The sequence below is a fragment of the Homo sapiens genome, chromosome 9 (genome assembly GCF_000001405.40).
Source record: "Homo sapiens chromosome 9, GRCh38.p14 Primary Assembly".
In the NCBI taxonomy this organism is placed as follows: domain Eukaryota; kingdom Metazoa; phylum Chordata; class Mammalia; order Primates; family Hominidae; genus Homo; species Homo sapiens.
In genome coordinates this window covers 2,498,517-2,518,103 of record NC_000009.12, presented here as the reverse complement: position 1 = coordinate 2,518,103, position 19,587 = coordinate 2,498,517, and the positions used below count along the sequence as shown (strand labels likewise).

Genomic DNA, 19,587 nt, shown 5'->3' with positions numbered 1-19,587 from the left:
TGTGAAAATCCTCAATAAAATACTGGCAAACTGAATACAGCAGCACATCAAAAAGCTTATCCACCATGATCAAGTCAGCTTCATCCCTGGGATGCAAGGATGGTTCAACATATGCAAATCAATAAATGTAATCCATCACATAAACAAAACCAATGACAAAAACCACATGATTATCTTGATAAATGCAGAAAAGGCCTTCGATAAAATTCAACACCCCTTCATGCTAAAAACTCTCGATAAACTTGGTATTGATGGAATAGATCTCAAAATAATAAGAGCTACTTATGACAAACCTACAGCCAATATCATACTGAATGGGCAAAATCTGGAAGCATTCTCTTTGAAAACTGGCATAAGACAAGGGTGCCCTCTCTCACCACTCCTATTCAACATAGTATTAGAAATTCTGCCCAGGGCAATCAGGCAAGAGAAAAGAAGAAAGTGTATTCAAATAGGAAGAGAGAAAGTCAAATTGTCTCTGTTTGCAGATGACATGACTGTATATTTAGAAAACCCCACTGTCTCAGCCCAAAATCTCCTTAAACTGATAAGAAACTTCAGCAAAGTGTCAGCATACAAAATCGATGTGCAAAAATCACAAGCATTCCTGTACACCAACAATAGACAAACAGAGAGCCAAATCATGAGTGAACTCCCACTCACAGTTGCTACAAAGAGAATAAAATACTTAGAAATACAACTTAGAAGGGATGTGAAGGACCTCTTCAAGGAGAACTACAAACCACTGCTCAAGGAAATAAGAGAGGACACTAACAAATGGAAAAACATTCCATGCTCATGGATAGGAAGAATCCATGTCATGAAAATGGCCATACTGCCCAAAGTAGTTTATAGATTCAATGCTATCCCATCAAGTTGCCATTGACTTTCTTCACAGAATTAGAAAAATCTACTTTAAATTTCATATGGAATCAAAGAAGAGTCATATAGCCAAGACAATCGTAAGCAAAAGGACAAAGTTGGAGGCATCATGCTACCTGACTTCAAATTATACTACATGGCTAGAGTAACCACAACAGCATGGTACTGGTACCAAAACAGATGTATAGACCAATGGAACAGAACAGAGGCCTCAGAAATAATGCCATACATCTACAACCATCGGCTCTTTGACAAACCTGACAAAAACAAGCAATGGAGAAAGGATTCCCTATTTAATAAATGGTGTTGAGAAAACTGGCTAGCCATATGCAGAAAACAGAAACTGGACCCCTTTCTTACACCTTATACAAAAATTAACTCAAGATGGATTAAAGACTTAAACATAAGACCTAAAACCCTAAATACCCAGAAGAAAACCTAGACAATCCCATTCAGGACATAGACATGGGCAAAGACTAAAACACCAAAAGCAATTGCAACAAAAGCCAAAATTGACAACTGGGATCTAATTAAACTAAAGAACTTCTGCACAGCAAAAGAAACTATCACTGGAGTCAGCAAGCAACCTACAGGATGGGAGAAAATTTTTGCAATCTATACATCTGACAAAGGGCTAATATCCAGAATCTACAAATAAACAAATTTACGAGAAGAAAACAAACAGTCCCATCAAAAAGTGGGTGAAGGATATGAACAGGCACTTCTCAAAAGAAGACATTTATGCAGCCAACAAATATATGAAAAAAAAAAAAAGCTCATCATCACTGATCATTAGAGAAATGCAAATCAAAACCATAATGAGATACCATCTCATACCAGTTAGAATGGCGATCATTAAAAAATCAGGAAACAACAGATCCTGGAGGGGATGTGGAGAAATAGGAATGCTTTTACACTGTTGGTGGGAGTGTAAATTAGTTCAGCCATTGTGGAAGACAGTGTGGCAATTCCTCAAGGATCTAGAACCAGAAATACCATTTGACCCAGCAATCCTATTACTGGGTATATACCCAAAGGATTATAAATCATTCTACTACAAAGACACATGCACATGTATATTTATTGCAGCACTATTCACAATAGCAAAAAAGACTTGGAACCAACCCAAATGCCCATCAGTGATAGACTGGATAAAGAAAATGTGAAGTGGATTTTTGTCTTGTGAAAAAAAAAAAGAAAGAAAAAGAAAATGTGGCACATATACACCATGGAATACTATGCAGCCATAAAAAATGATGAGTTTATGTCCTTTGCAGAGACATGGATGAAGCTGGAAACCATCATTCTCAGCAAACTGACACAGGAACAGAAAACCAAACACCGCATGTTCTCACTCATAAGTGGGAGTTGAACAATGAGAACATTTGGACACAGGGAGGGGAACATCACACACCGGGGCCTGTCAGGGGTGTGGGGCTAGGGGAGGGATAGCATTAGAAGAAATACCTAATGTAGATGATGGGTAGTTGGGTGCAGCAAACTGCCACGGCACAAGTATACCTATGTAACAAACCTGCACGTTCTGCACATGAATCCCGGAACTTAAAGTATACTAAAAAAAAAAAAAAACAAAAAAAAAAACCTGTCACAATAATAAAGAAGGAGAACAAAATTGGAGGAGTCACACTACCTGACTTCAAGACTTACTATAAGGCAGGTCACAGGGGATATGATGGCTTAGCTTGGGCTCAGAGGCCTGACATTCCTGTCTTCTTATATTAATAAGAAAAACAAAATAAAATAGTGGTGAAGTGTTGAGGCAGTGAAAATTCTTGGGGGTGGTATGGAGAGAGAAAGGGCGATGTTTCCCAGGGCTGTTTCGAGTGGGATTAGGGGCAGCATGGGAACCTAGAGTGGGAGAGATTAAACTGAAGAAAGATTTTATGGTAAGGGGTGATATCGTAGGGTTGTTAGAAGGAGCATTTGTTGTATAGAATGATTGATGATGGCCTAGATGCAGTTTTGTATGAATTGAGAAACTAAACGGAAGACACAAGGCCCGAATAAGAGAAGGAGAAAAACAGGTATTAAAGGACTAAGAATTGGGTGGTCCCAAGACATCCAATTAGAGAGTGCCTAAGGGGGTTCAGTGTAATTATTTGCTTGGTTGGTGAGTTTTTGGGCTCTGCCCTTGAGTTTTTTTTTTTTTTTTTATGTTGTCATATACCAGGCCAGATTGATTTAGGTAAAAACAACACTCTTCATTTAAAAATATACAGAGTTTTCCTTTTTAAGTTGGAGGCTGAGCTTGGTGTGGTGTGTTTTTAAAAGACCATTAGTCTGTTCTACCTTTCCTGAAGATTGAGGACGGTAAGCGGTATGAAGGTTTCACTGAATACCAAGAGCCTGAGAAACTGCTTGGGTGATTTGACTAATAAAAGCCAGACCATTGTCAGATTGAATAGAAGAAGGGAGGCCAAATCAGGGAATCATATCTGTTAGAAGGGAAGAGATGACTGCAGTAGCCTTTTTGGAGCTAGTGGGAAAGGCCTTGACCTATCTGTTGAAGTTGTCGACTGAACCAGGAGATACTTAAATTTATGGACATGGGGCATAGGAGTAAAGTCAATCTGCCAATCTTGTGTTGGAGTAAATCCATGGGCCTGATGTGTAGGAAAAGGAGGAGGCCTGAGAAAGCCTTGGGGGCTGCTGGCGTGGCAGACAGAGCATTGAGAGGTGAAGGTCTTAAGGATGGATTTCCATGAAGGGAAGGGGATGAAGGGCTGCAGAAGGGCAAGCCAGAGGCTTGTATCCCACGTGGCAGTGGTCATGAAGGTAAGAAAGAATGGACTGAGCTTGTGAGGCAGGAAGAATGAATTTTCCATGATCTAAGAACCACTTGTCCTGAGTTGGAAAAGACTGGTAGAGCAGGTTTTCAGAAGAAGAGTAGGTGGGAATGATAGAGGAGAAAGAAAAATACTGGCCCTCTGGAGTGGGGGCTGAAATATTAGTGGGTGTGGAGGAATTGGCTTTTTTTTTTTTTTTTTTTTTTTTTAGCTGTCCTGTCAGCGTAGGCATTTCCCTTTGCAATAAGATCAGTAGGTTTCTGGTGTCCTTTATAATGAATGATTCCAGCCTCGGCTGGCAGAAGAGCAGCCTTAAGGAGGGCCTTTATTAGGGAGGCATTGATAATGGAAGAGCCTTGTGTGGTGAGAAAACCTCTTTTAGCCCAAATGGCAGCATGTTTATGGAGGATGTGGAAAGCATATTTGGAGTCAGTGTAAATGTTAATGTGCATTCCTTTAGCGAGAGAGAGCACATGAGTTAAAGCAATCAGTTCGGCTTGTTGGGAAGTAGTGGAGGGAGGAAGTGCAGCAGCTTCGATAATAGAGGTATGGGACATGACAGCATATCCAGCTTTAGCTGGTGAAAATTGATTGAGTTTAGAAGAATTGCCATAGATTAACTAAGTGTGGTCTGTGTTTGGAATTGGAAGAGTAGAAATATGAGGAAAAGGGGAAGATGCTATGTGTATTAAAGAAATACAGTCATGTGATTCAGGACTTGTGTTGGGTGCTAAGTGAGAAGCTGGGCTGAAATCAGGCCCATGGGTAATAGTTACTGTTGGAGTTTTAACAAAGAGTGAATAGAGCTGGAGGAGTTGAGGGGCAGACAATAAATGTGAAAGGTATGAGAAGGATATTAATGCTTGAAGATTGTGAGAACTGTAGAGGGTAAGTGGAGCATAGCTTGTGATTTTGAGGGCCTCTAGAAGTATTAAAGTGGTGGCTGCTGCCCCACACAGACATGAGGGCCAGCCTAGAACTGTGAGGTCAAGTTGTTTTGATAGAAAGACAACAGGTCATGGGCTTGGCTCCTGTGTGAGGACTCCAGCAGCACAGCCTTGTATTTCAGCTGTGTGTAAGGAAAAAGTTTGGGATGAGTTGGGGAGTGCTAGTGTGGGAGCTGTCTCCGGGGCCTTTTTGAGAGAGAGCAAAAGGAAGAATGGGGAAAAGACTTAGGGTCTATGGGATCAGTTAAGTTACCCTTTGTGAGCTTGTAAAGTGGTTTTGGTTAGGATAGCAAAGCCTGGTATCCAGAGTCAGAAATATTTAACAATGCCTAAGAAGGAAAGGAGTTGTTGTTTGGTGATGGGGATTGGGGTCTGGGAGATTAACTGAACATGGTCTGCAGGAAGGGCACGTGTATGTTGTTGGAGGATTATACCGAAATAGGTAACGCCAGGGGATGACATTTGTTCCTTGGAGGGGGATACTTGGTACCTCTTTGAGTAGAGATGTTGAAGAAGCAGGATAGTGTCTTGCTGGGAAGATTAGTAAGAGGGGCTGCAAAGAAGAAGATCATCAAAATATTGAATAAGGCGAGAAGCAGAGGGGTAGAAAGAAAGTAAATCATGAGAAAGAGCTTGGCTGAAGTAATGAGGGCTGTCCCTGAAGCCTTGTGGCAGTACAGCCCAGGTAAGCTGCTGGGACTGATGGGTGTCAGGTTCAGTCCAGGTAAAAGCAAAGACGAGGTAAAAGCTGGGATGAGGGGTGCAGGGGAATAGTGAAAAAAGCATCTTTAATATCAAGAACAGAATAGTGAGTTGTGGAGGAAGGTATTGAGGACAAAAGAGTGTACAGGTTGGGCACCACAGGGTGGATAGGAAAAACAATTTGGTTGATAAGGCACAGATTCTGAACTAACCTGTAAGACTTGTCTGGTTTTTGGACAGGTAAAATGGGGGAATTGTAAAGGGAGTTTATAGGCTTTAGAAGGCCATGCTGCAGCAGGCGAATGATAACAGGCTTTAGTCCCCTTAAAGCCTGTTGTGGGATGGGGTACTGGCATTGAGCAGGGTAAAGGTAATCAAGTTTTAATGGGATAGTAATGGGTGTGTGATCGGTTGCCAGGGAGGGAGTAGAGGCATCCCATACTTGTGGGTTAAGGTAGGGGGATACAAGAGGAAGACATGAAGGAGGCTTTGGTTTGGGGAGAAGGGCAGCAATAGATGTGGCTGTAGTCCAGGAATAGTCAGGGTAGAGGATAATTTTGTTAAAACCTCTCAACCTAATAAAGGAACTGGGCAGGTGGGGATAACTAAAAAGGAGTGCATAAAAGAATGTTGTCCAAGTTGGCACCAAAGTTGGGGAGTTTTAAGAGGTTTAGAAACTTGGCCATCAATATCCACAACAGTTATGGAGGCAAGGGAAACAGGCCCTTGAAAAGAAGGTAATGTGCAGTGGGTAGCTTCCATATTGATTAAGAAGGGGACAGACTTACCCTCCAATATAAGATTTACCCAAAGCGTCAGTGATGGTCCAGAAGCCTTCCGAGGCAATTGGGCAGTGTCAGTCTTCAGCCACTAAGCAAAAAAGATCTGGGAAGGAGTCAGTCAGAGACCCTTGGGCCAGAGTTCCAGTGGCTCTGGGAGTGGCTGCTGGGCAAGTTGGACAGTCTGATTTCCAGTGGGGTCCTGCACACATGGGATACAGCTTAAGGGGAATCCTGGGCTGTGGGCATTCCTTGTCCCAGTGACCAGATTTCCAGCACTTGAAGCAAGATCCTGTGGGAGGAGGTCCTGGAGGAACACCTGGCTACTGCGGTTTAGGCATTTTGAAGTTCTTATGTGCTGGAGAGTGGTTGGGGTTTGTCTCACAGTGGAGGCAAGTAATTGCAACTCAGAAATATGTTGCCGCTTGGCTGCCTCTTCTCTGTTATTGTACACCTTGAAGGCGAGGTTAATTAAGTCCTGTTGTGGGGTATGAGGGCTGGAATCTAATTTTTGGAGGTTTTTCTAATGTTGGGAGCAGATTGGGTAATAAAATGCATATTGAGAATAAGATGACCTTCTGGACCCTATGGGTCTAGGGTGGTAAAGCATCTAAGGGTTGTTGCCAAATGGACCATGGACTGGGCTGGGTTTTTATATTTGATTAAAAAGAGCCTAAAAACCAACTGATTTGGGAGAGGTCGGCTAAAAAAAAAAAAAAAAAAAAAAAGGAGCATTAACCTTGACTATGCCTTCAGCTCCAGCCACCTAAGAAGAAATTGTTGGGCAGGTGGGGGAGGGCTAGTCACAGAATGAAACTGTAAGCCGGACCAGGTGTGAGGTGGGGAGGTGATAGAAGGATTATAGGGTGGGGGAGCTGAGGCTGAGGAAGAATTGGGACCTGGCTTGGCCTGGTGAGGAGCAGCCTGGGGAGGAGGAGAGAGGTTAGATGGGTCCATAGAAAAGGAGGATTCAAAGGACTCAGAGCTTGGGGTGAAGACTGAAGGAACAGACAGGAGAGAAAGAAGAAAGATTTGGGATGAGTGGCATTGGGAGCAGAGACTAGGGAGGGACAAATGTGTAAAGAATGCCTGGACATCAGGCACCTCAGACCATTTGCACATTTTTCGACAAAAATTATCTAGATCTTGTAGGATGGAGAAATCAAAAGTGCCATTTTCTGGCCATTTAGAACCATTGCCAAGTTTGTATTGGGGCCAAGCGGTGTTGCAGAAGAAAATAAGACTCTTAGGTTTTAGGTCAGATGAAAGTTGAAGAGGTTTTAAGTGTTTTAGAACACAGGCTAAGGGAGAAGAAGGAGGAATGGAGAGTGGAAGGTTGCCCATAGTAAAAAGGCAAGTTTAGAAAAAAGAGAGGGTAGAGACACGGAGAGAGGGGAGGTGGTAGTTGCCACCAGGGGGAGGTGGTACCTGACACCAAGGGCAGGTGGCACTTGCCACCAAGGTGAAGGATCAAGGCAGGCATCCCCGCCGTGATCAGACACCTCTAGAATGTGGTGAATAATCAGGCAGGTGTTCCAGCAGTGATTAGACACCAAGGGAAGACTGTCTTCCCAAGTCCATGACCGGCACCAGAGTTTTGAGTTCACGGATAAAATGCATCTCCTCTGTCTCTACCAGAAAGGGAAAGGAACCGAAATTAAGGGAGAGATTGAAAGGTGGAGGCATAGCCAGAGAGGTTGGAGAAGAGAATAAAACGAGGCTGCTTACCCAATTTAAAATTGGTGAGATGTTCCTTGGGCTGGTCTGAGGACCCAAGGTTGTAGGTGGATCTCCTCAAGGAGAGAGGGCAAGGACAGGGCACTGGTCTCCCGAAGGAGTCCCCCTGTCCCGGGTCTTTGGCACCAAATGTTACATGAGTCTGTGTGAAGAGACCACCAAACAGGCTTTGTGTGAGCAATAAAGCTTTTTAATCACCTGGGTGCAGGCGGGCTGAGTACGAAAAAGGAGTCAGCAAAGGGAGAATAGGGGCGGGGCAGTTTTATAGGATTTGGGTAGGCAGTGGAAAAGCACAGTTAAACGTGGTTATCTCTTTTGGGCAGAAGTGGAGGTCACAAGGTGCAGGGTGGGGAGATCATGAGACTCATTGTCCAGGGAAGGAATGTCACAAGGTCGATTGATCAGTTAGGGTGGGGCAGGAACAAATCACAATGGAGAGATGTCATCGGTTAAGGCAGGAACTGGCTTTCTTTTGTGGTTCTTCAGTTACTTCAGGCCTTCTGGATGTATACCTGCAGGTCACAGGGGATATGATGGCTTAGCTTGGGCTCAGAGGCCTGACAGTCTTAACATACTGTCTAGTAATCAAATATTTTTACTAATGTGAAAACTAAGTTATTGACTTGAAAACTTATATCCATACAAAAACCTGTATGTGAACGTTTATAGCAGTTTTCTTCATAATTGCTAAAATTATGGATGGAAGCAACCAAGATGTCCTTCAGTACATGAATGGACAAACTGCGGCATATCAACACAATGGAATATTATTCAGCAGTAAAAGAAAATGAACTATCAAGCCACAAAAAGATATAGACGAATCTTAAGTACATATTGCTAAGTGAAAGAAGCCGGTATGATAAGGCTACACATTATATGATTCAAATTCAATGACATTCTGAAAATATGATTGAAATTCAATGACATTCTGAAAAAGGCAAAACTATAGAGATAATAGAAAGATTAGTGGTTTCCAGGGGCTTACGGAAAGGGGGAGAGGGTTGAATAAGTGAAGCACAGCAGATTATTTAGGACAGTGAAGCTATTCTATATAACACTGTAATCATGGTTATATAACTTTATGCATTTGTCAAAACCTATAGAACTTTATAACACAAAGAGTGAACTTTAATGTATGCGAATCTTTAACAAATCATTTAGGGGATTGGAGGTTTCCAAGATGAAATGCAAAATTATGACAAAATAAGCTAACTGTATTACAAATGTATTAAAACAACCTCACTGAGGAGTGTGAAGGAAAGATGGTGTTGACCTAAACAACTTTAGAAATGAATGGAGACTGTGAGACTAAAGGCTATAAAGGAGCCTATAACATAAGCATGCTACCCTAGCTGATAAAGTTGTTTCCTGTGGAAGTACAGGTTAGCAATTCTGACTCTGCTATACATGCATACTGGAATTGAGCAGTTAAGTAAATAGATGGACAATGGTGAGAGCTAAGTTTCTCGCTGTTGGTGTGGGAGGTTACAGATAAGCAAAAGGAGGAGGCTGGAATCATCTACGAGGTAATGGATAACAGTTGAAGACATCATATCAACTCCTATTAGCTTAATAGAGATATTGATGGTTACATATAGAAATATTTATAGATATGTGTATTTATATAGATATGGGTTAGTAAATGCACACATATTTCCTTGCTGTGTCAGCTGAGAGGGTGTAGAGTTAATGACACCCCAGTAGCAATGAGTATACCTAGCACCAAGATCTTGGTTTCTAATATTATTCTCCAACTAAATGAACCACAACTTGGATAACTGGCTGATTCTAGGATGACAGAAGAAAATATAGAAGGTGTGCATGGAGCGTCTTGTATGCCAAAAAGTAAGGAAGTTCCAGGAAGAAAAAACCCTCACACACATGCACACACACAAAACAAAGGGGATATGTCAAAGGGTCATAGAGCCAACTAGAAGAACTACCGGTAGCCAAAGCTGGAACATTTGAGCAACAAAATAGATACAATACTTTAATATTGAATTTATACCCAAAACATGAAATAAATATATATACATCCATGCTGATGTGAGTACATTATTGAATAAATAAATAAATGAAGAATAGGCAAATTTCCTGTGCTAAATACTTCTAATTTATGTGGATATTCTGCTCTCAAGGAAGTAGAATATAACTCCCCCATTCCTTAAGTGTGGGTTAAACATAGTCACTTTATTCCAAAAAGTACAATATGGAAAGGGGGAAAAAAGAGTAACTTTATACTAAAGAAACCTGACATAGATTACTTTAGCCAGGTGATCAAGGTTAACATCAATGACATGTTGATAGTATGTGCCCTTGATCAGATGTGATGAGAATGGCACTTTACCTCTATGGTATTCTACCCAAAAACACATAATCCCAGTCTAATAATGAGAAAAACATCAGACAAACCCCAACTGAGGGACATTCTACAAAATATCCGACCAGTATTCCTCAAAAAAGTCAAGGTCATCAGAAACAAGGAAAATCTGAGAACTGTTACAGCCAAGAAGAACCTAAAATGTCATGATAAGCAAATGTACGGGAGTATTCCAGATGGAATCTTGGAAAAGGAAAAAGGATATTAGGGAAAATCTAAGGACACATGAATGAACTATAGACTTTAGTTAATGATAAGGTATCAGTATTGGCTCATTAATTGCAGGAAATGTACCATGCTCATATAAGGTGTTATTAGTAGGGGAAATGGATGTGGCATATATGGAAACTTCATTATTACCTTTTCAATTTTTCTGTAAACTTAAAACTGTTCTAAAATAAAGCATTTTTTTTTTTTTTTTTTTGAGACGGAGTCTCGCTCTGTCGCCCAGGCTGGAGTGCAGTGGCGCGATCTCGGCTCACTGCAGGCTCCGCCTCCCGGGTTCACGCCATTCTCCTGCCTCAGCCTCCCGAGTAGCTGGAACTACAGGCGCCCGCCACCGCGCCAGGCTAATTTTTTGTATTTTTAGTAGAGACGGGGTTTCACCGTGTTAGCCAGGATGGTCTCGATCTCCTGACCTCGTGATCCGCCCGCCTCGGCCTCCCAAAGTGCTGGGATTACAGGCGTGAGCCACCGCGCGCCGCCAAAGCATTTATTTTTAAAAACTTATAATGCCTGGGTATCAGCCGTGAGATACTGATTTAATTGATCTGAGGTGTGGCCTGACCCTTGGGACTTTTAAACACCTCCCAGGTGGTTCTAATTTGTCTCCGGCAAACCACTACTCTTCCTTCCTTCTGCTCTTTTGTTTAATTATAATAAATGCTCTGACCTTATCCCTGATAAAAATAGCAGTGTGCCTTAACGATTTTGGTTGTTTGAATGCAGCAGTTCTTTAAATGTACAGCCAGTGATATGGAACTTAGTGATATTTCCCATTAAATAGAAAATCTTGTCCAAGAAGCTTAAAATGCCATAAAGAGTTTAGGTAAAGAGACAGTGAAGGGCAGATTATACTATATGTATTGTCGGTTTAAATCTGTGCGTGGTGGGAATGGCTTTTTCTCTCTGCCGTGCTATTCCGTATGTACTTGGAGATGAGACATCTCCTAAATTTTAGGTGCAAAGGGTTTAGCTTTAATTAGGCAGTAGATTTATTCTTCAGGTGTTGATTGTGACAAGTGAGATAAAAGCATTACCTGCTGGCAAATGAAGCTTAAAGGTTCAGTAACCACAAACTGAACCGAGCCATCTATTTTTCTCCTGCAGGGAAGCTGGCAGCCTGGGCTCTTGGAGATTGTATCTGGTGCCGGAGAGGACTGGCTCCCACACTCAGTGAGGGAGGAATTTTACTGACCCAGCATCCAGATGAACTTTGGTGAGGAGAGGAGGTGAGGAAGTCAATGAGCCTTGCTTTTTCACTTGCAATTACGGCATTTCCTTTGGAAATGGTAAGACTATATTTTTAGACTTATATTATTAGCTTAAAATCCTAACAGGCCAGGAAGATGGCTTCATGCACATTAAGGCATGCAAAAGATTTATTTTTCCTGTGATTTTTCTTCCTCAAGTACTCATTAGTAGGAATTCTTGCTCTTTGTTAACACCTGTAAGAATATTAAGAGAGACCAGAAAACATTTGTTCATTGGCTGTTACACTATATTAGGCACTGAAGTAGATATTTTAAAGGTTAAAAATATATAACAGTGGCTTTTCATTCATTCATCCAAGCAATGTTTACTTGAATGCATATCATGCACCAGGTATCTGCTAGGGACTGGATATTTTAAAAAATAATAAAACAAAACAAAACAAACAAACATAAAAAAAAAAACTAAGCTAGATTGGGTCTCCTTTCTTAAGTTGTCTGCAGTCTAAAATCTTACTGTCTAGGTCAATGGTTCTCAATCCAGGGTGATTTTGCCCCCCAGAGGACATTTGACAGCGTCTGGAGAAATATTCAGTTACCACTACTAGGAGGGATGAAGGCTGCAATGGAATCTAATGGGTAGAAGCCAGCAATGCTGCTGAACATCCAATAAAATATAATTCAGCCCCCAACAACAAAGAAATTATCAGACCCAAATGTCAATAGTGTCGAGGCTGAGAAATCTGGCAAACCCACTGGGCTCTTCCTTAAACAGAGAGCACATTCTCCGTGTGTGAATTAAACAAAGCAAGCCTTAAAGCCACCTCCTGCCCTCCCTCTACTAGGTGGGTTTGGAATATTGAAGGGTCCCTCCCTAGCTGAGGGGAGAATAAATGTTATCCCCACTCCCCACCATCACTTAGGTGGGATGTGGTGGTGGCACTGTTCAGCAGAAGGTCAGCAATTCTATCATCAGCCCAGACCAGAGACATGTCCTGTTAAATAAGTCTGCCCTAGAGAGAAGACGTGATACTTTTCCTCTTTATTGGGAGCAGCCAAGCTTCTATAGTCAAGGCCAGTTAAGCACAAATCCTTTCAAACAATATTACTAAAAGACAGTGACACTCTTATAATTTAAACATAGTATTTGCACCTAAATTGAAACTGCCATAAAAAAATTCTATTGTTTTACTTCTGTGTAAGTACTAACTGCAAAGTCTGAAAGAAGAAGTAACCTTACAGTCATGCTGTTCAATGTAGCTACTAGCCACACGCTGCTGTTTAAATTAGTTGACATTAAATAAAATGTAAAATTTATTCTTCAGTTGCACTAGTCACATTTTAAGTGATCACTAGCCATGTGACTACTGGCTACTGAATTGGACAGTATGGGTGTAGGACATTTCTATCATCACAGGAAGTTCTATTGGACAACATTGTCTTACAAGGCTCCATTTCAAAGGATTCTTATCAATATGTGCAGTTATTTCTTTAAAAAAAAGGCTTGTTTCCTAGCAGCTGAGACACTGGGGCAATGCTTTGCATTATCTCATTATCATTGTCTGTTAGAAAGGAACTGACATGTTCTGCTGGGGGGACCACCTCTCTTCTGATATGGAATTTTTGTGAAGGGTTTATGTAATGGACATGGGATAACGTGTCAGATGATTGAAACTATGATTTTCCAGAAGATGTAACAACGTAAAATTCAAATAGGTAACTCCTGTAAGGCATTTCTGATCTAAGTCAAGTGTGTGTTGTTAAATATTAATTCCATTAAAGTATGTCAGCAGGGAATTAAGATATGTGACCCAAATATATTTCTTTTTAGTAGCTGAGTGTAATAGAGAAGTAGTGCTCAGTGGATCTCAACTGAAGAAGAGGTAGGACGAAGGGAAGAGAAGAGGTTCAGAATATTTGGAAAAGATTCTCCATGTTATTTTAATGTACCCAATCCAGATAAGTATAGTTTAGAGATATGCAAAGGATAATTGATTTACCTTTCACTGCTGTATGATTGGAGGGAGGCGGAAAGGCTGCGACTTTTAAAAGTCCCTCTTTTTAGAAATTTTGATTAAGTACAACTTTGAGTGGGGCCTAGATATTCACTCCATTCTCTCTTGCTGTCTTTCCTTTCAATGACCTACCTGTCTATCCTTCCCTACTTGGTTATTGTTCTAAATAACCAGGATGATCAACTGGCTTTAGAACAATGGCCTTAGGCAATTTTTCCCAGTATCAAGAGTCTCTAGCAAACTTTTGCAAGCTGTATATCACAGTCTATTCTTGGCTGCATTTTTTTGATCAGTGCCTGAAGTGATGATATGTGTGCTTACTGATCAAAGCAAGTGTCTCATGCACAAAGGGTGCATTACCCAGAGAGGACACTCAACTGAAGAAATTCAGGAATCCATTTACTACTTTTGCTCAGGCTGAAAGGCACCCCACTTCCACAGAAAGGTTGGCTGTGAGTGTGTGAGCAGGGCTAAAAATGTTCTCCTAAAGGACCCATTCAAGCCATTGGATAACTCTTCAGGTAGAGAACCCAGAGTTTGGTAATAGAGCTTTGCCCATTTTATTAATGTTAGAAAGCCATTACTAGCCATAGGGAAACCTATCAGTCCATCAGAGTGACACCTTGCTCTGCTGATAGGTACAAAACTTCAACACTCTTCCCCCTTACCCCTAATTAAGTCTCGAAATTTCACATCATATTTTCAAGATATGTTAGCCCTGAATGGGTTTATATTTTTCACTTTCATTTTCTCAAGTTGATTTAGAATAGCCTTGCTACATCCTTTGTTTTCCTCATTCCTGGTTTCACATTTTCTCCTGGTAGAAATGTAATTTCCCCCCATAATATGTAAAATGTTGATCATTTGGAGTTTTTGAAGAATAAGGTGGAACTCATATCATTGTGTAACCATCCAGAATGTACATTCTTTTTGGTGGCATGATGTACAACATATGACATTAGGACAAAATATCCTACCACCCCCAGAAAATGTCCAACCTTAGCTTCCTCCTCTTTTTAAGGACATAAGAGCCTGGTGGTTGATGATGGAAGAGATGAAACTGTGAAGAGACCGAAGAAGCTAATCTATCAATAGTTAAGATTCCATTTCTAAAAGATCTTACTTTGAGTCTACCTATGCCTGGGATGTCAAGAGGTATGAATTGCCCTAACGTTCAGGGAGCCATTTAGGTTTGTCTTCTTAAGGTATCCAGCTAGAGGGGGACGTGGATCTTAAAACCATGTAGAATTTAGGCTTAACGGATGCACTAATACCTTGAAAAGAAGGCAGGAAAGAATGAAGAAAGAACCCTAGAGTGGCCCTACTGAAGACTGCATCATCCATGAGAAAATATTGAGTGTCTGTTATGGGCCAGGCCCTGTGTGGTACAATGTGTTGCTGTAACATGAGAAAAAAAATGTATTTGGTCTTCGTCCCAGTTTTTGGCACAGAGCTCCTAAAACCTTTGGAAATTCCTGAGTGATAGAGTGTCTTTTGCATGCTAATGAGGTGACTAAAGAGGGCCATGCTTAGATAGCTTCAGGATAAGGGCTGGTCACCAGAGAAGCCAACCACCTGATTATAGGGTTAGAATTGTCAGCTCTGCACTGCCTTCCTCCCCACCTCCAGAGAGGGTAGACGGGCTGGAGATTGAGTTCAATCAGCAGTGGGAAATGATTTAGTAAATACTGTCTATGTGGTAATGATGCTTTCATAAAAACTGAAGCAATAAGGCTAAGGGAGCCTCCTGTTTGGTGACTACATTGACATATTGGGAGGGTGTCTTACCCAGAAAGGGCATGGAAGAGTTGTGTCCTCTCCCTGCCCCATACCTTGCCCGATGCATCACTTCCATTTGGATGTTCCTGAATTGTGTCCTTTATAATAAGTGTAATTGAAAGTAGATAGCTTTTCTGAATCTGTCGGTCATTCTAGCAAACCACTGAACCTGGGGAGTGGTTGTGGAAACCCCCAAATTTGTGGTAGACTGGGCAGAAGTGCAGGTAGCCTGGAGACATCATGTACAGCTAGCATCTAAAGTGAGGGTTTCTTATGGAACTGAAGCCTTACTGTGTGTGGTCTAGGCTAACTCTGGGTAGCTAGTGTCTGAATCAAGTTGAATTGTTGCCACCCAGTTGGCTTCAGAGTTAGGCAGGAAAACAGGGTCTAGAGGCAGGGGACATAGGCCGATTCATACTTCAGCTATCACAGGAAATATCCTCTCCATAGGGTGTACACTGAGTAAATGACTGTAACTTTACTTCAGCCTCTCCATTTACGTAGGGCGTACACCAGGTAACCAATGGAATCATCTAGAGGGTATTTAAACTCCTGAAAATTCTGTAACGGGGCCTTTGAGCCCCTATGCTCAGGCCCACTCCCACTCTGTGGAGTGTGCTTTCATTTTCAATAAATTCCTTCATTCCTTCCTTGTTTTGTGCATTTTGACCAATTCTTCATTCAAGATGCCCAGAACCTGGACACATTCCACTGGTAACAAGAGAATCAGAGAATTCGTTGGTATTGGGATGACATAGCTGGGAATAAAGTGGTGAACAAGAGTAGACATCTTTCTACTCTCGAAATTTACAAATAGTATCCCAGTGAGTCTGTTGGGTTATTTAGCACTATGCTGTATATTGTCCAATCACCCCCTCCAAATCTACTCACTCTGGTCTTTAGAGGCTGACCCTCATGGAACACATTAATGGGCACTCTTTTTTCCATCTGTAATCGGGTGTGAACAACGGGGTGTCCTGGGAGGAAACTGAAGTGAGGGAGGTAAGTAAAATCAGGGTATTGATTCACCTGGCTCACTCCTTGGGAGCCCACCTTGGGCTGTGTCTCATTTCTAGGTAGTCCTCTCAACATGACTTTCTTCTTCCCAATTCTGGCAACTCCTTCTTGTCTCCTTGTGCATAAGGGTGGTGTAAGCACTTCAGCTTCTAATCTTTGCTTTTTGCCTGCAAACCATTGTGGTTCTATTACATCCTGAATACACCCTTGTAAAAAGTTCCTTATTAAATAAACCTTCTTTGAATTATCCTAATATGAGTGTTCTGTCTCACTGGGATCCTGACTGATACAAGCAGTTTCCATGTAAATGGTGGATATATGTTTGCAAAGTATGTTGAGTTTTGCTTTAGTATACTTGATGCTAAGCCAGCTGTTCAGCTACTTAAGAAGGTGACCCTGGTTTGCAATGATAAAATTCTATTATAGAGTAGGATGCTTATCTCCCTATTTCCTTTGGCAGGAAAGTATATATTCAATGAGGTACAGAGAAGGGGAGCTAGAACATTAGTTCTGTTTTACAGCATTTAGAATTACAATTTCTGTTGCCAAAATGTTCCTCTTACCCATTATGATTCTGACATTAATACTATATTCCAGGCTTTGAAGAAGCATTAATAGTTTGGGATTTTACCAAGATGATACATGCGGATGAGAGGTTGATAAATGTTGCAAAAAGTCCTTGTTATTAACTGTTTTATTGCTGAGATGGAACAGGATAGTAACACTCAGAAGTTTAATAGTTGTGCCTGAAACACATTTTCTTTCATGATAAACATTTGAGTGACAGAGAGTCCAGAAATGGGTTGTGAAGAGAGCACAAAGTGTGTGCTTTTATTGTTTGCTTGGCAGAGGTTCCGCCATGGAGAACAACATCATAAAATTTACATTTGTTATTGATCTTTTTGCCTGAGCCCCACCCTAATACCTCCATTAGAATCTGTTAGAAGTAAGTTTTTCCAGATGATGAATTCCTTGTGAAAAGAGATGAACTGTGAGTTTGTAGCTCACAGTTTGTAACTGCGAGCCTCCTTTCCTCCTTATTTTGCCTATTAAAGTCATTACTGAATTATAAATTAGGGTGGCCAGATGGGATAATCAAAGCTGGTTTCAACCCATCTATAATCCGTTGATCCATAGATAAGACAGAAAGCTTGTCTCAGAAGATGGTACTTGTGTACATCTCAAGAGAATTGGAGAGAGGCTACCTGCATCATTGATCACTAACCTTTATAGATAAAAGCAATTTCAAAGGCCATCTACCCCCTAATGCTATAGATGAGGAGACTGAGACCCTGAGATATTAAAAGACTTACCCAGGAAAACAGCTGTATTAATCTGTCAGGGTAGCCATAACAAAGTATCACAAACTGGGTGGCTTAAACAACAGGACTTTACTGTCTCACAGTTCTGGAGATGGAGCATCCACAAGTCAAAGGGTTGGCAGGATTGGTTCCTTCTATGGCTGTAAGGAAAGGATGTGTTCCAGAGCTCTCTCTTTGGCTTGTAGATGGCCATCTTCTCCCTGTGTCTCTTCACATTATCCTCCCTCTTTGCATGTTTGTATTCAAATTTCCTCTTCTTATAAGGACACCAGTCATACTGGATTAGGGCTTACTCTAATGACCTTATTTTAACTTGATTGCCCCTGTAAAGACCCTCTTTTCTAAAGATCACATTCTGAGGTACTGAGGGTTAGGACTTCAACATATGAATTGTTTGGTGGACACAGTCCAACCCCTAAGCACATCGACTGTCTGAAAACTGACTAGAATCTTGGTCCTCTGATGCTCTTGTTCATTTTTTTCCTATTACACTACTGTGCCTTTTAATATTCTTGTTCCCGTTGCTACAGAGACCATTCCCTCTTTCACAGAACTAAGAGACAGGGATGTGGTTAAAACCTGAACTTTTCTCAGACACTTCAAATGATTCCATTTAGGGGAATATAAGGCCAAAGTAAATTTAGAGAAGTTATGATCCTTATTAATATAACCTGAACATACTCCTCTTGGGGATAAAGATAAACAATGATTTTTTTTTATGATCACATGGCTGTTAATGTTGAACTTTTAGAGTTAGACACAAAATTCTCTCAGACTTATTTTATGAACTGCAGTTTATATTATTAAATTGTGATGATAAATGAGTTTGCTCAGTTATTCTCTTCTTTGACTTGACTTTCTCTACCTCTGAAAAATAGCCTACCAGGGAAAGGAGGTTTTCTTTCTGGATGTCCTACAGATGAAGCTTTGGCAGAACCATTGTCAATCCAGGCATTTAATTCTCCTGAAATCATGTTGTCAGTTCAGGGATGCTTGAAGCATATAAAGTTTAGGAGGCAACGGAATCAGTGCCGGATATTTAGGGATATGTTTGCATGTAGGTAGGCAGGATATTTTTATGTTGTACCAAGTGGTCTTTTCAGGAAAATGGGTCTAGACAAGACAAATAAGTTTTTAATTCATGTCAGGTCACTGAAGCCAATGTGGCCTATCACCCTCACATCAACCAAAATTGCTTGGATTAAAGGTTGGAACAGAAGAAAACTAATAGGGTATTAAACTCTTCAATAATGACTTCATTCTTCCCATTCTCACATGGCCTAAAATGCTTATTTTCAAGGAGGGGAACCTAATGCTGAGAGAAATAACGTGATTAGTCCAAGAACACAGTATACTCCTCCCATACAGCAATGTGCTTCTGCCCAGTATAGCAGGTGTAATGCAGGACTCAGGTGCTGTGTGCTAAGTGGCAGTTCTAACTGTCTAGCAGTATTTACTAGGGAACACCTAAGTTTGGGCCTTACCTACTAAACCAAGTCACAGAATATGTCTCTTGGTACTTAGAGGTAGGAGGTTTTAGGATGTACCCCTGCACTCCTCCCCACCAGCAGTGTCTCCCAATGCTCACCTCTTAGATCATCAGCCTTTCATATATGTCAAGAAAAAAACTTTCATTAAGTGATTAGACAAATTTGGAAAATGCCACGTACTGCATCCCTTTCTTAGATATTCATCACGCATGTTAGCATATTGACAGCTTTGCAATGTCTGGCAATGAAAAAGCCATTTAACTTTCTTTAACCAGGAGTTTCCAAAAGTTATCTGACAGA

At 41.1% G+C, this 19,587-nt stretch overlaps 1 long non-coding RNA gene across 2 annotated transcripts in view; it reads left to right on the top strand.

Annotated features, from left to right (window-relative positions):
• The first annotated feature begins 11,567 nt into the window (after positions 1-11,567).
• The window catches only part of LOC101930053 (uncharacterized), a 121,382-nt gene continuing 113,362 nt past the window's right edge, over positions 11,568-19,587 (top strand). For both annotated transcript variants that reach the window (XR_007061396.1, XR_007061397.1), the window contains exons 1-2: positions 11,568-11,685; positions 14,701-14,834. This is a non-coding gene — a long non-coding RNA (uncharacterized LOC101930053). The remainder of the gene's footprint in view (positions 11,686-14,700; positions 14,835-19,587) is intronic.